At 38.7% G+C, this 19,577-nt stretch overlaps 1 protein-coding gene and 1 long non-coding RNA gene across 3 annotated transcripts in view; one reads left to right on the top strand and one right to left on the bottom strand.

Moving 5' to 3' along the window:
* Positions 7,087-7,699, bottom strand: LOC124907904 (uncharacterized). Its single transcript, XR_007087287.1, has 2 exons — positions 7,648-7,699; positions 7,087-7,414 (listed from the first exon to the last, which is right to left on the bottom strand). It is a non-coding gene; the product is annotated as an uncharacterized LOC124907904 (long non-coding RNA).
* A 200-nt stretch (positions 7,700-7,899) lies between these two features.
* The window catches only part of SPC25 (SPC25 component of NDC80 kinetochore complex), a 28,910-nt gene continuing 17,232 nt past the window's right edge, over positions 7,900-19,577 (top strand). For both annotated transcript variants that reach the window (XM_011511516.3, NM_020675.4), the window contains exons 1-3: positions 7,900-8,012; positions 8,797-8,943; positions 9,039-9,104. In XM_011511516.3, the coding sequence (XP_011509818.1) occupies positions 8,811-8,943; positions 9,039-9,104 (199 nt within the window). In that variant the 5' untranslated portion in view covers positions 7,900-8,012; positions 8,797-8,810. The remainder of the gene's footprint in view (positions 8,013-8,796; positions 8,944-9,038; positions 9,105-19,577) is intronic.

The raw sequence follows: 19,577 nt of genomic DNA, 5'->3' as shown, positions 1-19,577 counted from the left end.
GGGCTTTATAGAGGGGCCTATATAAAGCCATTTAACAGGGGCTTTAGATTTCACAAAACCTGGAACTGCCCCTGGGCCCATCATAGTTATTTAGTAAATGTTTATTGAGTGAATGAATTATTGAACAAAGTTGATATGAGTACTAAATTATAAAGAGCCTGTGTTTTAAAACTATGTTATTTGGTTAGTGCAAACTCAAAATGCATTTCTCCACAGAGATCATGTTATATAGTGGCAATGTCAAGAAAGTGTATTTAAGGTGGAGAAAATATATATAATGTGTATTCTAGAAAGGGCTAATATATTTGTATGTGTATATGTGTGTGTGTGTACATACATATATAAATATGTATGCAGATGTGTGTATATGTATATATACATATATTAGCCCTTTGTGTGTGTGTGCATATATGTATATATACAATTATATATACATATATAACATATATACACACACATATATACACATATATGTACACACACACAAACACACACATCTGCTTATGATTAAATAGAAGAATAAACAATTAAAAAATATTTTGGCCAAGCATGGTACCTCACATCTGTAATCCCAGCACTTTGGGAAGCCATAGTGGGAGGATCACTTGAAGCCAGGAGCTTGAGACCACCTGGGAAACGAAGCAATACCCCACCTCTATTTAGTATATATTTATTTTATATACATTTATTACATGTGATAAATTATATAATTTATCACATGTAATAAATTATATAATTTATTGCATGTAATAAATTATATATATTTATCACATGTAATAAATTATATAATTTATTTATATATAAAAATACATAATAAATATATATCTATTTTTATATATTTATATTTATATAAAAATATATATGTAATAAATAAATATTTATTATATGTAATAGATATTTATTATATGTAATAGATATATTTATTATATGTAATAGATATATTTATTATATGTAATAAATTTATATATTTATTATATATAAAATAAATATATTTTTAAATTCTGTAAAGGAAAGAAGAGAAGAGAGTAGAGGGAACAGGGTTAAAAAGTAGACTTCTTTGAACATACTTATTTTATAGATGTGACTTTGAAACCATGTAAATATTTTACATAACTATACAACAAAATTAAAATTAAGATGTGATTCATACAAAATTTTAAAAACGAAAGAAGTGAAAACACCACTTGATCCATTATACTGGTGAGCTATTCTTCCCAGCACTTACATGTATTTTATGATTTGTTCCTGTGGGAAATCTCTTTCTACACATTTCTTTAGTCCTCCTCATCTACCGTCTGCCACTCGAGTTGCCACGGCTTAGGGTGGGGATGTTCCTGTATCCTATGTGGGCCCCAGCAGTAGGGAGATAGAGGAAGTTGGTTCTTTCTGACACTAGTAATCTTCCAGTGGAGCTCTTCCCTCCAATGACACAGCCTGCCTGACAAGCTGGGTCATTTCAAAGCCAAGGTTGTTAGAGTTTAAGATCTGTCCAAAATCAGTTTACCAAATGATGGAACAAAGTCACATTCAACCTACCCAGACCAAGATCCAAAAGAGGGTAGATCCACCTGACTCATCCTCTTTTTGAAGTTGTCTTTCCTAAAGTGTGACCTGTGGACCACCTTCCTCCTGTCACCTGCATGCAATTTCCAGGCCCACTCCAGATCACAGAATGAGACATTTTGGAAATTAAATCCAGAAAGCGTTTTAGTAAGGTTTCCACATGGTTTCTATACACATTAATTTTTAGAAGCGCTGTCTTCATTCATCATTCCCTTGAAAGGTACCCCTCCTGTACCTCCTGTGCAGAGCTGGCCTCTTCTTGTACCACTTTCTCAACTTCTACCTTAAGTCATTTTTTTTTCATTTGCCTTATTTGGGGTTCTGTATTATTCCACTCTTTCCCATGGATGCAGGCGTGGTCTGTTTCCATATTCTTCCTTTTAGATCTCCTTTTTATTATCTTTTTTTAAGGCACATGGTAAATACTCAAAAAATACTAGCTATAATTAATATTAGTTATTCCTATTTTGCCAAATAGTCTGTAAATGTGGAACTGAATTCAAGCTCTGACATTCTTGATCAGAGTAGAAGTAGGGTAAAGTGATACAATTTTGCTCTTATACACAATTCTTATGTTGCTTCTCTTTTGTACTCTGACATCTCTGCCTCTACCCCACTCTCTCTGTTCTCTCCTCTCTTTTCTTCTCCCCCCACCCCACCTCTCACTCTCTTTTTTCCTCTATCCTGGCTCCCCTTTTTTCATACTAATATTTAGTCATCTAAGTGTTTTAATTGGTCACTGTCAACTCCAACAGAGCAGAGACAAGTCTGAATTGCTCACTATTGCATCTGGGAATCCAGCCAAATGCCCTACACATTAGGAGATGGTTTTCAAAAATTATACAGCCAGCCACCATTCCTGACTGGATCACCTCCTTTTCTTCCTGCTATAGTAGAACTCTCCATTTGATCCCTCCAAGTGTTCAAGGACTTGAACTCTGCTGTGTTAGAAAAAGCACTTTTGGAGTGGAAGAAATCTTTATGAGTCTGTGCTTTGGGGTCTAACCTTAGCCAGATCTCTTCAGTCACCAGGCAGTCTATAACGCAAATTGATTTATTTAGGGGTCAGCGAACTTCCTAAAATTGCGTGCAAAATGTTTGTGCTTGTACGTATCTGTTGGAAGAAGCCACAATTTTCACCAGATTCTCAATGGAATCCCAAGCAAATTAAGTACAGCGTGAGGTTCACTGGAATCCCATGCGCTATCCGTGGGGCCTATACCCAGGATCCTCCCATTTCCCCAGTTTCCTCAGAGATATCTTCATAACTCCATCCACCCCAGCATGAGTTTCTTGTCTTAATGACGTCCTTCCTCTTAATGACTGTTTATTTCTTAAATATGTTACTGCTATAGTCGGTCCCCCAACCCTATGCTGCTGCCTTGTTTTTTAGTTCATCCCTGTAGTTGAATACTTCCAGTTCTTTCTAGAATGTTCTCATTCCGATTCATTTAAATTTTTCTGAGATTTTGATTTACAGTAAATCCCTACATGTATTACATAGTGGGACAGAGGATAGAATTTCTCCAATATGTTTCACCACATCAAATATTATATAACCACAAGATATTTCTTATTGAACCATTCATGTCTGGATTATAGTGCTTGCTACAATTCAACACCATTCAGAGATATTTGACTTTAGCTTGTGTTACTTATGAGGTGGCAGTAAACAACAATATATTTTGTAGGCATTGACCTTTAATGTCTCTGCATGGTCATTATCCTTTTACCACAAACTTATCTGCCTTTTCTAAAATAAACTATTTGAGATCTCTCCAGTGTCACCTTGCAATTTAAAATGGATTTATTTCAGATGGAATTTAGACCCTAGTGACTTTCAGAAAATCATTACCTTCAGTCTGGCTAGCATCCCAGGAATATTGGCAGTCCATAATGACACTGTTATAAATGGCCCTGCTACAGCTCTTTGAAGTACCCCCCTCCATTAGTCTTCTTAGCTACTTTTCTCTAGAAATGATCATGACCTATACATCTATACACTTTTTCTTGGATTACCAAAGGACCCAACAGAGTTGCCTATTGAGCAGTACTATTAACTTTCTTCAAAGTAGAGTTAATATATTGTATAGCTGTGTTCATTTTTATAGATGACTTAAAAAGTACTGTGTAGAGAAATTGTGTAAAGCAGTGGCTCTCAAACTTTAATATTCATCCAACTCCCCTGAAGGGCTTGTTAAAACACAGATTTCAGGGACTCCTAATCTTTGATTCACTAAAAATAGAGTGGGGTCTGAGACTTTGTATTTCTAAGTTCCCAGATAATGGTGATGTTGCTGGGTGGAGAACCTCTCACTTTTGAGAAGCATAAGTCTAGACACTGACTCTTACGAGTACCACACAGGACAGAGATAGATCAGACCTCAAGAAGCTTGTGGTCTAGTAGGGAAGATATGATATTTACATAAATCACATACCATTGTGTCCTTAGAGGTGAACAGATAGGGTGAATGGAAAAAAGGAAAGGCAGACAACTTTCAGTCTGTGAGATTAGGGAGCTTTTGTGGAGGAGATGGCAAGTGGCTGGGCCTTGAGATATGAGTAGAATTTAGAAATGCAAACTGTAGGATGAAAGGGAAAAAATATTCAAGAATATAAATGAGATAATACCATTATCACACCTAAAGACATTAACATTAATTGATTAATGTATTTAAAAGCTGTAAAAGAAATCCTCATTTTTGACATTTATGAGACAATTTAAAAATTGTACCTAGAGTAGTCAGATTCATAGAGACAGAAAGTAGAATGGTGGTTGCCAAGGTGTGAGGGGAGGAAAGACAGATTTGTTATTTGATGGGCAGAGTTTTTAATAAAAAGAGTTCTGGAGATGAATAGCGGTGATGGTTCCATAATGCTGTGAATACACTCAACATCCTTTTACTGTACACTTAAAAATGGTTAAGATGGTAAATTTTATGTTATGAGTATTTTACCATAATAAAAATAACCTGGATATTTTTCTGACTATATTGAATGTTTTCTCAGTGCTTGGGAAATGTAGTCTTTTTTCCTCTGAAGCTCTGATATCCTTCATCTTTTATTTTTAATTTTAATACTTTTATTGAGTTATAATTTATATACTATAAATTATAGTATATAATTCCTCATTATATTTAGTATATTTATAAAGTTGCCAGTAATTGACAAAAACCAGTTTCAGAACATCTCCAGCACCCCAGAAAGTTCCTTCATGCATGTTGGCAGTCAGTGCCTGGGTCTGCTCCCAGCCCGATGCAAAAACTGAACTGCTCTCTGTGTCTGGGAATCTGCCTTTTCTGGTTATTTTATGTAAATTAAATCATAGTATATGTAGTCTTTTGCACCCGGATTCTTTCACTTAGCATAATGTTTTTGAGTAGTTTCTCATGAATAAATGCTTCTTAGTTTGCTGCAATCTGTTAGTCAACTTCCAGGTCACTTAAATTGTTGTTTTTGATAATTTGGTCCAGTTTTATAGTTTCTTTTTGGGGGATAAAATTTGGTGACTTCCTTCTACCACACAGATCCAAACCACATCAGACCTCCAGCATAGTGGTGGGAGGGGATTGGATCATGAGGGTGGATTTCTTATGAATGGTTTAATACCATCCTCTTGGTACTGTCTTTGTAACAGTGAGTGAGTTCTCATGAGATCTGGTCATTTAAAAATGTGTGGCACCTCCCCCTCCTCCTGACCTCTCTTGCTCCTGCTTTGGCACATGAAGTACCTTCTCCCCATTCGCCTTCTGCCATGATTGGAAGTTTCCTGAAGCCTCCCTAGAAGCAGATGCTGCTCTTCTTCCTGTACAGCTTGCAGACCATGAGCCAATTAAACCTCTTTTCTTTATAAATTACCCAGTCTCAGGTGTTTCTTTATAGCAATGTGAGAACAGACTGATACAAGGTCCCAGCCCTTCCTCCATTTTATTTTATTTTTTTAATTCTAGGAAGGAGATGAAAGAGTCCAAGTGTAACCTGGCATTGACTCCACTTTGTATACTGTACTTTATAGCAATTGTCAGAAAACTTGCTTTCTTAAATCATCTATTGCAGTGTTTGACACAGGCCATTCAGAAATCTAGAAGATTGAAAGTTTCTGTTCAAGAATCTTTTCATTTTCAATATTGTAGGTCCTCAACCTGGAATCTGCAAGAAGAGACTCCTCTTTTGAATTCATAGTAACTTTTAATTTTTCAATTTTCTCAGTGAATGGATGTTGAAAATATAAATGTGAATGTCAGCATAAATGTGAATGTCGTAAAGAGAACCTTATACTTACAGGTGGGGAACTTATAGTCTAAACCATGGCATTATTCACGATCATTCCTATCTTTAGCTCTGCCCCCCAAGATGCAAAGTATCTACCCAGCAAGTGTATGTGTAATAGAGGACAATGATCTTTTATCCTTATACGCCATTATCATTCACCCTTTGGAGAAAGAATTAAGTTTTCAGGGGAGGAGCAATGGAGCATTCAATCTGAGCAAGACTATAACCACCATCCAGAAACACCTCCAGCCTGGGAACATGTGGCATCTTTCTATTCCCCACCCTGCAGAAACCCAACCCTGGGTCACAGACCGTATATCCCAGAGAAGGCAGTGCTCAGCTCAGTACCTGGCACAAAATAGAAACTCAATAAACCCTGGTTGGTTTGAAATGAAAGGTATGTAAGTATGGTGGTGGTGGTCATGGTGGAGTTGTGTGAATGATAATGGGTCGGGGGGTCTGTTTTCCCCTTTTTAATGCTGAGAAAGCTGAAGGCCCTATTCTGTGTACTGAGCAGAAAGAAGAGCTGGTTGTCTCTAGCTATCCTTGGGGATTAGAGAGAAATTATTCAGCCAGTCTTTCAGAAATGAAAATTTTGACAAACGACAAACTTCTTCCTCACATCCTGGTTGGGGAGGAGCACTCACAGAATAAAAAACAATAGACAACCTGAGGCTGCCCTAAAAACAGCACATTGGTAGGGCAATCACTCCCCTCAGCTGAAGACCCAAAGAGAGCAAGAATCTTCACTGAACAGTCTGATAAAGACCAGTGTATAAACCCAGTGAGGAATTCATCAACATGGTACCAAATCAGCCCTCTTCCATGAATCTTCTTAAATACTGTCTTCACTAATTTGGTACTGAGAAAACCCTAAAAATGAGTACCAGCACTCAATCAGCTGAAATTCTGAGATGCTCAACTCATAAAATTTTGCTTTAAGGTAAATAGTATCAGATATATAAAATTAGAAGTTCTTGGGAAAATATTTGCAAATGAAAGGAGATTTATCATAGTAAACTCTATGTCTAACTGTATTAATAGCAGTCTCTAGGCTGCAAGGTGACTTTTGGGTATATTGTGAAGTGTTAAATATTCATAATAACTTGTCCTGATTTCATAGGTCTTAATTTAGTTCTTGGATAAAGAATGGCTAATATCTGGTCCTCTGAGAATGTTTTTTACATATTTACTTCTTGTTGGTGTTTGTATTGTTGATGAAAATGAAAAGAAACTAGTATAGTAAAGACCTTTTGGTGTATAATAAGAGGCTTTATTTTCACAAACATATCATAGTCTAAGATTAAAATAATAACTTTGACTTCATTATTTTAGCCAACTTTATTTTCCATTCTTCAGAAAGCATATTCTCTAGGTTCTTTCCCTAGTTTTCTTTCTTCCTCAGCTTTACCAAGAAGGATTCAAATACCGAATCTATGTCACCTTTCAGAGTTTCTGGACAACGCTGATTCCCTGCAGCTTGTCTACTCTGGCAAATCCTAGTTGAATACCTTGTGCCTCATTCCTGTCCTCAAGGAAATAGCAGGTGATTTTGATAGTGCTCTAGTTTCTTCCACTTCTGCAAGATAGTAACATAGTGTTCTATTAGGCCTCAAAAACATTGTTAGAGAAGCTGGGGGAGTAGAAAAGAAGGAATATTTTTGTAAGCAGTAAAAACCTATTCTGAGGACCATCTGAATGTTTCTGCCCACTCACAATTGAAGTCAACTTTACAAGGTGAATACAAAGAAGAGGATGTATTTGTTGCAAAAGATACGATTAAAGGTCAATATCTGTATTTGTTCCAGAAACCTTTATTTGAAGCCGATAAATGACTTGTCGTGGGCGAGCCCTTCGGGTGCTATTAATACTTTCGGGTCACAGCGGAGACTCTGGCTGTTGTTCAGAAAAGAACTACGAATCCCAGAATGCCCTGTTCCCCCATTTTCCCCTCGAGAATCCAAGGGTGAGTTCAACCAATCCTGTCAAGGAGAGCCTGCGCTATCGGCCAATCAGAAGGCCAGCCTGCGCCTGGAGGCGGGTGGCGGGAAGTGCACTAGGTTTGAAATCGGAAAGTTGGCGGGGCTGCGGGAGCTGAGCCTAGAGTCCGGCTGTTGGCTAGAGTGGGCGCGGATCTGGTGTGGGGAAGGCGGCGGGACTCAGGCCTGCCTGCGAAGGTAAGGGAGTTGGGCGCCGAGCTGGGCTCCTTGGCCCCCCTGTCGCAATAAGGGAAAGTGAATTTGAGGGCGGGATGTGTGTATTTGCGGCGGCGTTTGTGAAATGCGCATCTTGTTGCTGTTTGGGCCTCACAGCCTGGTGGGGTGGGCAGCTGCGAACCCAAAGCGTTCTGGGTTTCACTGCAGGAGGTATCTTTGGTCCTCCTGGGAAGGTTTTAGCGTCGCAGAGTACTGGTGGGTCCAGGATTCTCCCAGGACCTCCTTTTACAGAGGATACTGAGGCCCGAGGTGACTTGTATACATCCTCGACGGAACCTACTAAACTCCCACCTTAGTCCCTATTTTACTGTTAACTTTTACTGTTCTGAGGTGGAGGAGAGAGACAGGATAGATGTGTGGGGTCTTATTCTATGGGAGGGTGCCGGCCACCTGGCTATCCTGATGATCTCTGTTCAGAAAGGGTTAGAGTTGGATCAGGGGTTTCAGAAGTCAACAGTTTTACTTGTGAGAAAATGGACCCAGGGTCATAGTGCGTGTGAGTGTCCTGTGCAGTTACACTTACCTACTAACAAGCTGCTAGGAGGTAAAGGTGTCCTGAATTATTGCTGCACGTTAACAACAGTTAAGCCCAGGTGGCTTGATCTACCCTTGAATACCTAGAATTAAAGATAAGTTGCTATTTTCTAGCAAAGGACAAATTGCCAAAATACTGTATACCCGATTGGAATATGTGGGTGATTTGATTTCAGTAACTTAAAAAATGCAATATGTATTCTGTTTTTAGCATTGTCCTACATAATGGTAGAGGACGAACTGGCACTTTTCGATAAAAGCATAAATGAATTTTGGAATAAATTCAAAAGTACGGACACCTCCTGTCAGATGGCGGGACTAAGAGATACCTACAAGGATTCCATCAAAGCATTTGCAGGTACCTAGTGTTAACTTGTAACATGCTGGTTTTGCTGTTCTAGTTTATTTTTTAGTGTTATTGCAGCTGAATTGAAAGTTCAATTTCTCTTTCAGAAAAGCTGTCTGTGAAATTAAAGGAAGAAGAACGAATGGTTGAGATGTTTCTGGAATATCAAAATCGTATGTGAAAAAGTATAAATCATGGGGTTTTTTTTAGATAAAACATCTTTATCATGAAATCTCTCATACAAGTAAGACAATGTATTTTGTGTACACAAGTGTGTATATGTTGTGTGTGTGTATATATATATGTGTATATATATGTATATATATGTGTATATATATATGTATATATATGTGTATATATATATGTATATATATGTGTATATATATACATATATGTGTATATATATACATATATATGTGTGTGTGTATATATATATATATACACACACACACACACACACACACACACACACACGTACATGTAGTGGCTCATGCCTGTAATCCCAACACTTTGGGAGGCCAAGTTGGGTGGATCCCTCGAGCTCAGGAGTTGAAGACCAGCCCAAGCAACATGGTGAAACCCTGTCTCTACAAAAGATTTAAAAAAAAAATTAAAAATTAAAATATATATATATACATATATATAGACACATACACACACAAATACATACACATTAACACATATACATGTGCTTATATATAGGAATAAACATTGACATACTATACAGTTTAAGAAAGAACATCCTATGTTACACCTTCTCCCACCTTCCACAACTAACCTATCAATATATTGTTTAGTATTGTGGGGGTTTTTTGTGTCATTTTTTGAGACAGGGTCTCACTTTGAGACAGAGTCTCGCTCTGTTGCCCAGGCTGGAGTGCAGTGGCGCGATCTTGGCTCACTGCAAGCTCCGCCTCCTGGGTTCACGCCACTCTCCTGCCTCAGCCTCCCAAGTAGCTGGGACTACAGGCGCCTGCAACCACGCCTGGCTAATTTTTTGTATTTTTAGTACAGACAGGGTTTCACTGTGTTAGCCAAGACGGTCTCAATCTCCTGACCTCGTGATCTGCCTGCCTCAGCCTCCCAAAGTGCTGGGATTACAGGCGTGAGCCACCGTGCCTGGTGACAGAGTCTCACTTTGTCAGCCAGGCTGGGGTGCAGTGGCATGATCTAGGCTCATTTCAGCCTCGACCTCCTCGGCTCAAGTGATACTCCCACTTCACCCCCTAAGTAGCTGGGACCACTGGTGCACACCAGCATGCCTGGCTAATTTCATATTTTTTGTAGAGATGGGGTTTCACCATATTGTGCAGGCTGGTCTTAAACTCCTGGGCTCAAGCAGTCCGCTCACTTTGGCTGCCCAAAGTGCTAGGATTTCGGGTGTGAGCCACCATGCCTGGCCTCTAGTATTGTGTTTTTGAATGTTATATAAATGGCATTCTCTTGTATGTCTTCTGTCCATTTTTTCACTCAGCACTATACTTGTGAGATTTGTCAGTGTTAAGGTATAAATGCCAGTATTTTTTAAAAGATGAGTTTGTTTTCACGTTGGAAATCACAGCCTGGGGATTGAAAAGCTAGAGTTCTCTCAGCTCTGTTAGTACTCTGACAGTGTTTTTCTCCATATTTTTACTACTATTCTTGCCATCTTATTTCTACTACTCTCCAGGTTGTCCAGAGTAAACCAGTAGTTTTTACTGAATTCTTACACACAGGACACAAACATGTGTCCACAGTTCAAATTCCACTAGAGATACTTGGTTTAAAGGCACCATGTTTTAAACAATATTAGACTAGAATGTCCTTACATGGGGCATATGTTCTTTCATTTGCAAAATGGGTAGCCTTGACTTACCCACTTTACTCATTGTGTGGCCCATGAAGGCATTTGACTTTGTTACCCCAGTAGGTTATTTGCTACACTTTTACCCATGTTTACTTTCTTTCTTTATTTTCTTTCTTTCTTTTTTTTTTTTTGAGATGGAGTCTCGCTCTGTTGCCCAGGCTGGAGTGCAGTGGCATGATCTCGGCTCACTGCAACCTTTGCCTTCTGGGTTCAAGTGATTCTCCTGCCTCAGCCTCCCAAGTAGCTGAGACTACAGGTGCGCACCACCACGCACCACTAATTTTTTGTATTTTTAGTAGAGATGGGGTTTCACCGTGTTAGCCAGGATGGTCTCAATCTCCTGACCTTAGGTGATCTGCCCACCTTGGCCTCCCAAAGTGCTGGGATTACAGGCATGAGCCACTGCAACCGGCCTACCCATGTTTACTTTCTAATCTGCCCTGAAGCTTCCATGCCCTTCACTGCTTCTCTCATTCCCTCTGTAACCATAAGCAAAAAAGAAAACCACTTTTGTTTGCATGTGTGTGTGAAAGAGTGATATTGAGTTTGGGTTCTTTAAAACTTCTTTGTAGGATCCCTAGGCATTAGAAAATTAAGTTTGGAACTGTCAGTTTTACTGCTGTGAGTCTCAAACTGTGCTCTTAAAGATTATCTATAGTATGAAGTTATGCTCTATATAGTCTAAAATCTAAAAGCATTATCAATATTTTTCTTTTAAAAATCAGTTTATACTTGGCCGGGCGGGGTGGTTCACGCCTGTAATCCCAGCACTTTGGGAGGCTGAGGCGGGCGGATCACGAGGTCAGGAGATCAAGACCATCCTGGCTAACACGGTGAAACCTTGTCTCTACTAAAAATACAAAAAATTAGCTGGGCCTGGTGGCCGGCGCCTATGGTCCCAGCTACTCTGGAGGCTGAGGCAGGAGAATGGCGTGAACCTGGGAGGCGGAGCTTGCAGTGAGCCCAGATCGCGCCACTGCACTGCAGCCTGGGCGACAGAGCAAGACTCCATCTCAAAAAAAAAAAAAGAAATCAGTTTATACTTGAACAGAAATACAGTTTACTCAAGTTTAATTAATTCAATGAACATATGACTGCTATTGCCCACCACTAAGGAGACAACAGTGCATAAAGTATAATCTACTCACAATATTGTGGGGGATATAGATAGGGAAACCACAATTAAAATATATTGTTCCAGGCTCGATGGCTCAAGCCAAAGTAATCCCAGCACTTTGGGAGGCTGAGGCAGGAGGATTGCCTGAGTCCAGGAGTTCAAGACCAGCCTGGGCAATATAGTGAGACCTTGTCTCAATAAAAATTAAGGAAAAATTAGCCAGGTGTGGTGGTGGGCACCTGTAGTCCCAGCTACTCAGGAGGCTGAGACAGGAGGATCGCTTGAGCCCAGGAGATTGAGGTTACAGTGAGCCGTGATCATGCCACTTCACTCCAGCCTGGGCGACAGAGTGAGACCCTGTCTCCAAAAAAAAAAAAAAAAAAAAGATTGTATTCGTTGTTAGAATAATGTAATAGATGCTGTGTGAGGATAGAATCTGGAGGGTTTGGTTCTTCCAGTGAGGAATGCAGGATATTTAATAGCTAACCATTACCTTGTATACCATGTGCTAAGCCCTGTTCTAAGCTCTTTGCATATATTGACTCATGAATCCTCACAACAACCCTAAGAGGTATAGATACTGCTTTTTTATGACAAAATAAGCACAGAGAGGTTAAGCAACTTTCTCAAGGTCAGATAGCTGATAATGAACAGAAATATGATTTGAACCTGCGGTCTGATTATACCACACTACTTTGGAGAAAATCACATAAAGGAGGGTTAGGGATGTTCAACAGAGTCAGCATTACATTCTGGGAAGAGGGAACAGCACATGGAATATGGCAGGAACATGAGAGCTTGTTAAGTTCTGGGATGGCTAGAGTACCCTGTGGATGGGGAGTGGTGGAGAAGTGGCTGGAAGAACTCGTTGGCCAGATGATGGACATTCCATGTTGTGCAAAGGGGGTTAGACTTTGTTTTTCAGGAGATAAAGAGTTGCTACAGGATTTCAACCTGGAAAATGATATTGGATTTATATGCCAGAAGAAGCAATCTAGTAATCATGCACAATAAACAGGAGGGGAGTGAGATTGTTGTCCATAAAGAGACCAGTTAAAGGAAAAATTTAGTGTAATAGTACAGGCACATAATGAGTATGGCTTGGACCAGTGACAGGTCTGAAGAGTTAGACTCAAGACTGTGGGCCTGAAGGTGAGAGTATGCTGTGGTCTAGGATGATTCCTTCTGACATGGAGTATGAATCAGTGGTGATGCATTTACTAAGTGAGGGATTGAAAGAGAGGAGGAGCATGTTTTTATAGGTGGGAAGGAAACATATGTGGGTTCAATTTTAAACATGTTGGGTGAATATGCTGAGTTTATTGTGCAGCAAGTCTTCAGGTGGCGATATCTGATAGGCAATGGATATATTCATCTGGAAGCCAGCCAGAAAAGTGGTCTTTGCTGAAGATAGGGATTTGTGAGTCTTTAGTGTATTTAGGGGGTTGAAGCTGTGGAAGAATATGTAGAGTGAAAGAAGGTAGCCTTGGTTAGTAATAATATTTATTTACTCATTACTGTGTGCCAGGTACTGTGCTAAATGCCTTACATTGACCACCTCCTTCAGTCCTCATGATAGTTCTCCAGGGTTGGTATCATTTATTATTATTATTCCTACTTTTCTGATATTGCAGTCCCAGAGAGATTATGATTTGCCCCAGATCATCAGATTAACTCCAGAAGCCTTACTCATCTTCAGAGCATTACATTTCCTCTCCAATTTGAGAGAGTTAAATGGAAACGACCAGGAAAGACAGAATTCGTAATTGGAGAACAGAGGAAGTAAGAGAGAAGGTCACCAAAACTAAAAGAGGAGAGAAATAATAAAGGGTGTTGTTAACACTGTAAGTCACAGGTAGATCCAGTAAGGTAAAGATTGAGATAGATATTTTGGGAACAAGAAAGATGGAAGGAATTCATTCACTGACCAAATACTTGTTGAGCTACTGCTGTATACCAGGTAATCTTCTAGGAAGATACTGCAGAGAACAAAATAGCCTAAAGTTCTGGAGCCATAAATTCTAATTATCACAAGAAGGAAGATCATCTATTGAAAGTGAGAGGTATTTACTATGGGCAGGCTTTTACATTATTATAAATCCTGAAGTCTGTCTAAGACAGAGATTATCCCTGTTTTACAGATGAGGAAATTGAAGCTCACTGAGGTTAAGAAACTTGCCTAAGGTAAATAGAGGATCTAGGATCACAATGATAGTGTCTGTGCTCTTTCCATTGTGCTATACTGACGTGCATTGGAGTGAAAATGCAAAGAAGGGTTCCTCTGGTGTGTAGGAGTGAAAGTTTGAAATGTCGGTCCTGGGAATAAGACAGCCTGCTATGTACACATGTAATAATAGTCACACAGCAGGCCAGGTGCAGTGGCTCACACCTGTAGTCCTAGCAATTTGGGAGGCCGAGGCAGGCGGATCACGAGGTCAAAAGATCAAGACCATCCTGGCCAACATGGTGAAACCCCATCTCCACTAAAAATATAAAAATTAGCTGGGCGTGGTGGTGAGTGCCTGTAGTCCTGTCTGCTCAGGGGGCTGAAGCAGGAGAATTGCTTGAACCCAGGAGGCGGAGGTTGCAGTGAGCTGAGATTGCACCACTGCACTGCAGCCTGGCGACAGAGCGAGACTCCATCTCAAAAAAAAAAAAAGAAAAAAAAATGGTCATACAGCATCGAGGACTCCTATATTTGTATTGGCCACAAATCACACAGTTCTTCAAATGTTATAATAAAAACACTCTCATATGTGGTATTTATGTGTCACTAGTTTAAAAGTTTTTGTATTATTATTACTGGATACTCTAACCCCAGTGAATGAGGTAGCCAATGTTATCCCCATTTTACAAATGAGCAAAAGAGTTTCAGAAGTCGTGATTTTGACCGAGATCTTTGGGTAAGAACTGATAAGCTGAATCAGACTTGAGACCTTTGACTTTCAATCTGAATTTCTTGTGTAGTACAATTCTACTTAATTTTTTTCTTTAAATAGTAGCATTTTTCTTTCTAGTAAGATGTTTATTTTTAAATTATACTTGACGTAATATATGATCATGTTCATATTCTTAGAACATACAGAAAAGCAAAAAATATCACCTGTAATGTTGAGAACCATATTTAACAAAACAACTTTCTAGCTTTTGTTTTTCATGAGCTATGTAGGTTTTTAACGTAATTATATTCATGGTATCTATATAACTATCTTTTTTTTTCAACTTTGAGAATATTTTCCCACATTGCTAAATTGTTTTGAAAATACATTCCATCTTATCGATATACCATATTTTAAAAATCATTTGCTTGTTAGCCATTGAAGATGTTTTCAGTTTTTCATTATAAATACTGAAAAATAATTTTTATATATAAATATTTGCACGTATCCTATTTCCCTAGGGTAACTTTGTAAAAATGAAATTGCTGGGTCAAAGGAGGTAAATATTTTTAAGGCTCTTTTATTTTACAATGTCAAAAATATTTTCTAGAAGGACCCTAGCATTTTGCATTCCTCTCAATATTAGTAATTATTTCTGTAAACATTGTTGTAATAAATGAAAATTGAAATCTTACTGTTTTACTTGCATTTCTGTGATTAATCTGAGGTTAAATTATCTTTCATATTTATTAGCCATCTGCATTCTGTGTTTCATCTGTTTATCCCTTTGTCTGTTTTTTTCTTAGGAATTTGTATTTGTGTCTTCCTCTTGAGATTAAAATGGTAACCCATTGTTGGAGGAGGATAATTTAATGGGCAAAGCATTGCCTTTGAAGTCAAGACCTGAGTTTGAATGCAGTCTGTCTGTCTGTTTATTTATTTATTTATTTATTTTTGAGACAGGGTCTCGCCCTGTCACCAGGCTGGAGTGCAGTGGCGTGATCGCAGCTCACTGCAACCTCCGACTCCCTGGTTCAAGCTATTCTGCCTCAGCCTCCCTAGTAGCTGGAATTACAGGCACACGCCACCACGCCCAGCTCATTTTTGTATTTTTAGCAGAGACGAGGTTTCACCATGTTGGCCAGGATGGTCTCGATCTCCTGACCTCATGATCCGCCAGCCTGAGCGTTGCAAAGTGCAGGGATTACAGGCGTGAGCCGCCATGCCTGGCCCTTATTATTTATTTTAGCCTAGCAAATACAGCTTTGGGCAAGTTACTGAACTGCTGAGTGTTTTTCCTCTTCTTTTAAAAAAGTAGTAAAAGACTAAAGAATTTATTTTGGATTTCGGCACTGTTTAGAGAATAATCTACCTCTTGAACATTGATTTGATATTTCATTTATCATATTAACTTCCTAACTGCCAACGTTTGTTTGGCATATCTTTTATAATATTTAGAAGCATAAAATATCTCTTCATATATCCAGATCAAATATGTGTCTCAGACAAGCTTTGCAGTTTTTTTCAAACAGAGCCTACATATTTCTTGATCTAGGTTGATTCTGAATTTTCTGTTTGTTACCTCTGTAAACGAGATTTTCCTGTTGCCTGAGGAATGCTTGTCTTGAGAGATGTTGTTCAAGCACTGAGAATTCCATGCTCACTTCAATTTGGGAAACATATCATAGTGTATTTCTCTTTTGAAGATTTATGGTATTTAAAGTCTTCATAAATTCAGTGATGGACTAACTTGTTTAACTTTGAGAAAAAGATTACTCATCCTTGGAGCACATATTTACTTGTAATTATGATACTGGAATTAAATGACAGTATAGATAGTTTGGTTTATTTGATACAATTCTAGACTACTGGCATTAATTGGCATTCGATTTTAAAGTGTTTAGATTTCATTTAAGTATTAGTAAAACTAAATCTTTAATTCAGAAATTCATAAGCACATTATAAAGCACCACTTGAGCTCTACTGGCTCTGCTTATTTGACCTCAGTAGCCTCTGCCCTAGAGCTCTTATGCTTTTTGTGCCTTCCTGCTTTGTCTAGCCCCCTGATTGGCATTTTGGGGACACCATCTCTGTGCAATGGGCCCCAAGTAGCAGCGGTTGTATCTTTCTTCCAACAAACAGAGGAAGAAGTGGTCCTGCCAGGGTTACTCCTTTCCCAGCAGAGAGGTTTGGCCAGGTTTATGCACAGGCATTGTTGTTTTTATTTTGAGCATGTGTGTGAGAAAGGGGTGGGTAGTTGCAGAAGCTGAGTGTTTAAGAGGGCTAGGGCAAGAAGAACTTGTACAGAGAGTGACAGGGACATGGGGAAGGCAGGGAAGGTAGAGAGATTAAAGCCAAGAAGGAGTAATGAGGTGCTGGCCAATATGTGAGACAGATGTAAAAGGCCAGTATTTTGGTACATGGATACCTTGTTTTATTGCACTTCACTTTATTGCACTTTACAGATATTGCAATTTTTACAAATTAAAGGTTAATGGCAACCATGTGTCAAGCAAGTCTGTGGGCACCATTTTTCCATCAGCATGTGGTGACTTCGTATCTGTCACATGTTGGTAATTCTCACAAGATTTCAAACTTGTCATTATTATATTTCTTGTGGTGCTCTATGATCAGTGATCTTTGACGTTACTATTGTAATTGTTTTAAGTGCCATGAATGACACCCATATAAGATGACAAACTTAATGGATAAATGTTGAATGACTTCTGACTGCTCTGCTGACCAGCCATTCCTGTCATTCTTCCTCTCCTTGGGCCTCCCTAGTCTCCAGTATTGAAATTAGGCCAATTAATAACCCTATAGTGACCTCTAATTGTTCAACTGAAAGAAGGAGTCATAGGTCTCTCACTTTAAATCAAAAGCTAGAAATGATTAAGCTTAGTGGGAAAGTGTGTCAAAAGCTGAGATAGGCTGAAAGCTTGGCCTCTTGCGCCAATTAGCAAAAGTGCTAATTCAGTGAACACACGAATGATAAGAAAGAGAAACAGCCTTATTGTTAGAGAAAATTTTAGTGGCCTTAATAGAAGAGCAAACAAACCACAACATTCCCTTAAGCAAAAGCCTAATTCAGGGTAAGACTCTAGCCCTCTTCAATTCTGTGAAGGCTTGAGAAAGATGAGGAAGTTTCAGAAGAAAAGTTTGAAGCTAGCAGAAGTTGGTTCTTGAGGTTTAAGGAAAGCAGCTGCCTCCATAAAATAAAAATGCAAGATGAAGCAGAAGTGCTAATGTAGAAGCTACAGCAAGTTATCTAGCTAAGATCATTGAATGAACAGATCATTAAAGAACGGATTTTTGATGTAGATGAAAAAGCAGTTTTCTATTGGAAGAAGATGCCATCTAGGACTTTCATAGCTAGAGAGAAGTCAAGGCCTGCTTTGAAGCTTCAAAGACAGGCTGACTCTTTAGTGACTAATGCACCTGGTGACTTTAAGTTGAAGCCTGTGCTCACTTGCCATTCCCCAAATCCTAGGGCCCTTAAGAATTATACTAAATCTACTCTGCCTATGTTCTATAAATGGAATAGCAAAGCCTAGATGACAGCACATGTGTGTATAGCATAGTTTACTGAATATTTTAGGCCCACTGTTGAGGCCTTCTACTCAGGAAAAAAGATGGCTTTCAAAATATTTCTGCTCATTAACAGTGCATCTGGTCACTCAAGAGCGCTGATGGAGATTAGTGTTGTTTTCATGCCTACTAAGACAACATCCATTCTGCAGCCCATGGATCAAGGGGTAGTTTTGACTTTCATGTCTCATTATTTAAGAAATAAGGTTATAGCTACCCAAATAGTGATTAACTCTGATAGATCTGGGCAAAATAAATTGAAAACCTTCCAGAGAAAGGATTCACCATTCTAGATGCCATAGAACATTCGTGATTCACAGGAAGAGGTCAAAATATCAACATGAACAAGAGCTTGGAAGAAGTTGATTTTAACCCTCATGGATGACTTTGAGAGGTTCAAGACTTCAATGGAGAAAGTAACTACAGATGTGGTAGAAATCACAAGAGACCTAGATTTAGAAGTGGAGCCTGAAGATGTGACCGAATTGCTGCCATCTCAGATAAAACTTGAATGGATAAGGAGTTGCTTCTTATGGATAAGCAAAGAAAGTGGTTTTATGGAATGGAATCCACTCCTGGTGAAGATGCTGTGAACATTGTTTAACTGACAACAAAGGATTTAGACTATTATATAAACTTAGTTGATAAAGTAGCGCAGGGTTTGAGAAGACTGACTCCAATTTTGAAAACAGTTCTACCAGGGGTAAATGCTGTCAAACATCATTGTATGCTGCAGAGAAATCTTTCATGAAAGAGTTGATTAATGCAGCAAACTTTATTGTTGTCCTATTATAATAAATTGCCACAGCCACCCCAACCTTCAGCAGCTACCACTCTGATCAGTCAGCAGCCATCAACATCAAGGCAAGACCCTCCCCCTGCAAAAGTTTAGGACTTGCTGAAGGCTCAGATGATTATTAGCATATTTTAGCAATAAAATATTTTTAATTAAGATATGTACATTTGTTTTTTAGCCATAATGCTATTGCACGCTTAATAGACTACAATATAGTGTAAAATAACTTTTCTATGTACTGGGAAACCAAAACATTTGTGTGACTTGCTTTATGGCAATATTCGCTTTATCACAGTGATCTGGAATAGAACTTGCAATATCTCCAACGTATGCCAGTACTTAAAAATAGCACAGAATAGCAAAAACTAATAAAACCAATAAAAACAAAGAACAAAAACGAATATTGCAGCTATTAATATT

This window comes from Homo sapiens, chromosome 2 (genome assembly GCF_000001405.40).
Source record: "Homo sapiens chromosome 2, GRCh38.p14 Primary Assembly".
In the NCBI taxonomy this organism is placed as follows: Eukaryota; Metazoa; Chordata; class Mammalia; order Primates; family Hominidae; genus Homo; species Homo sapiens.
The sequence above is the reverse complement of the archived record's forward strand: the minus strand, read 5'-3'. Positions and strand labels throughout refer to the sequence as shown.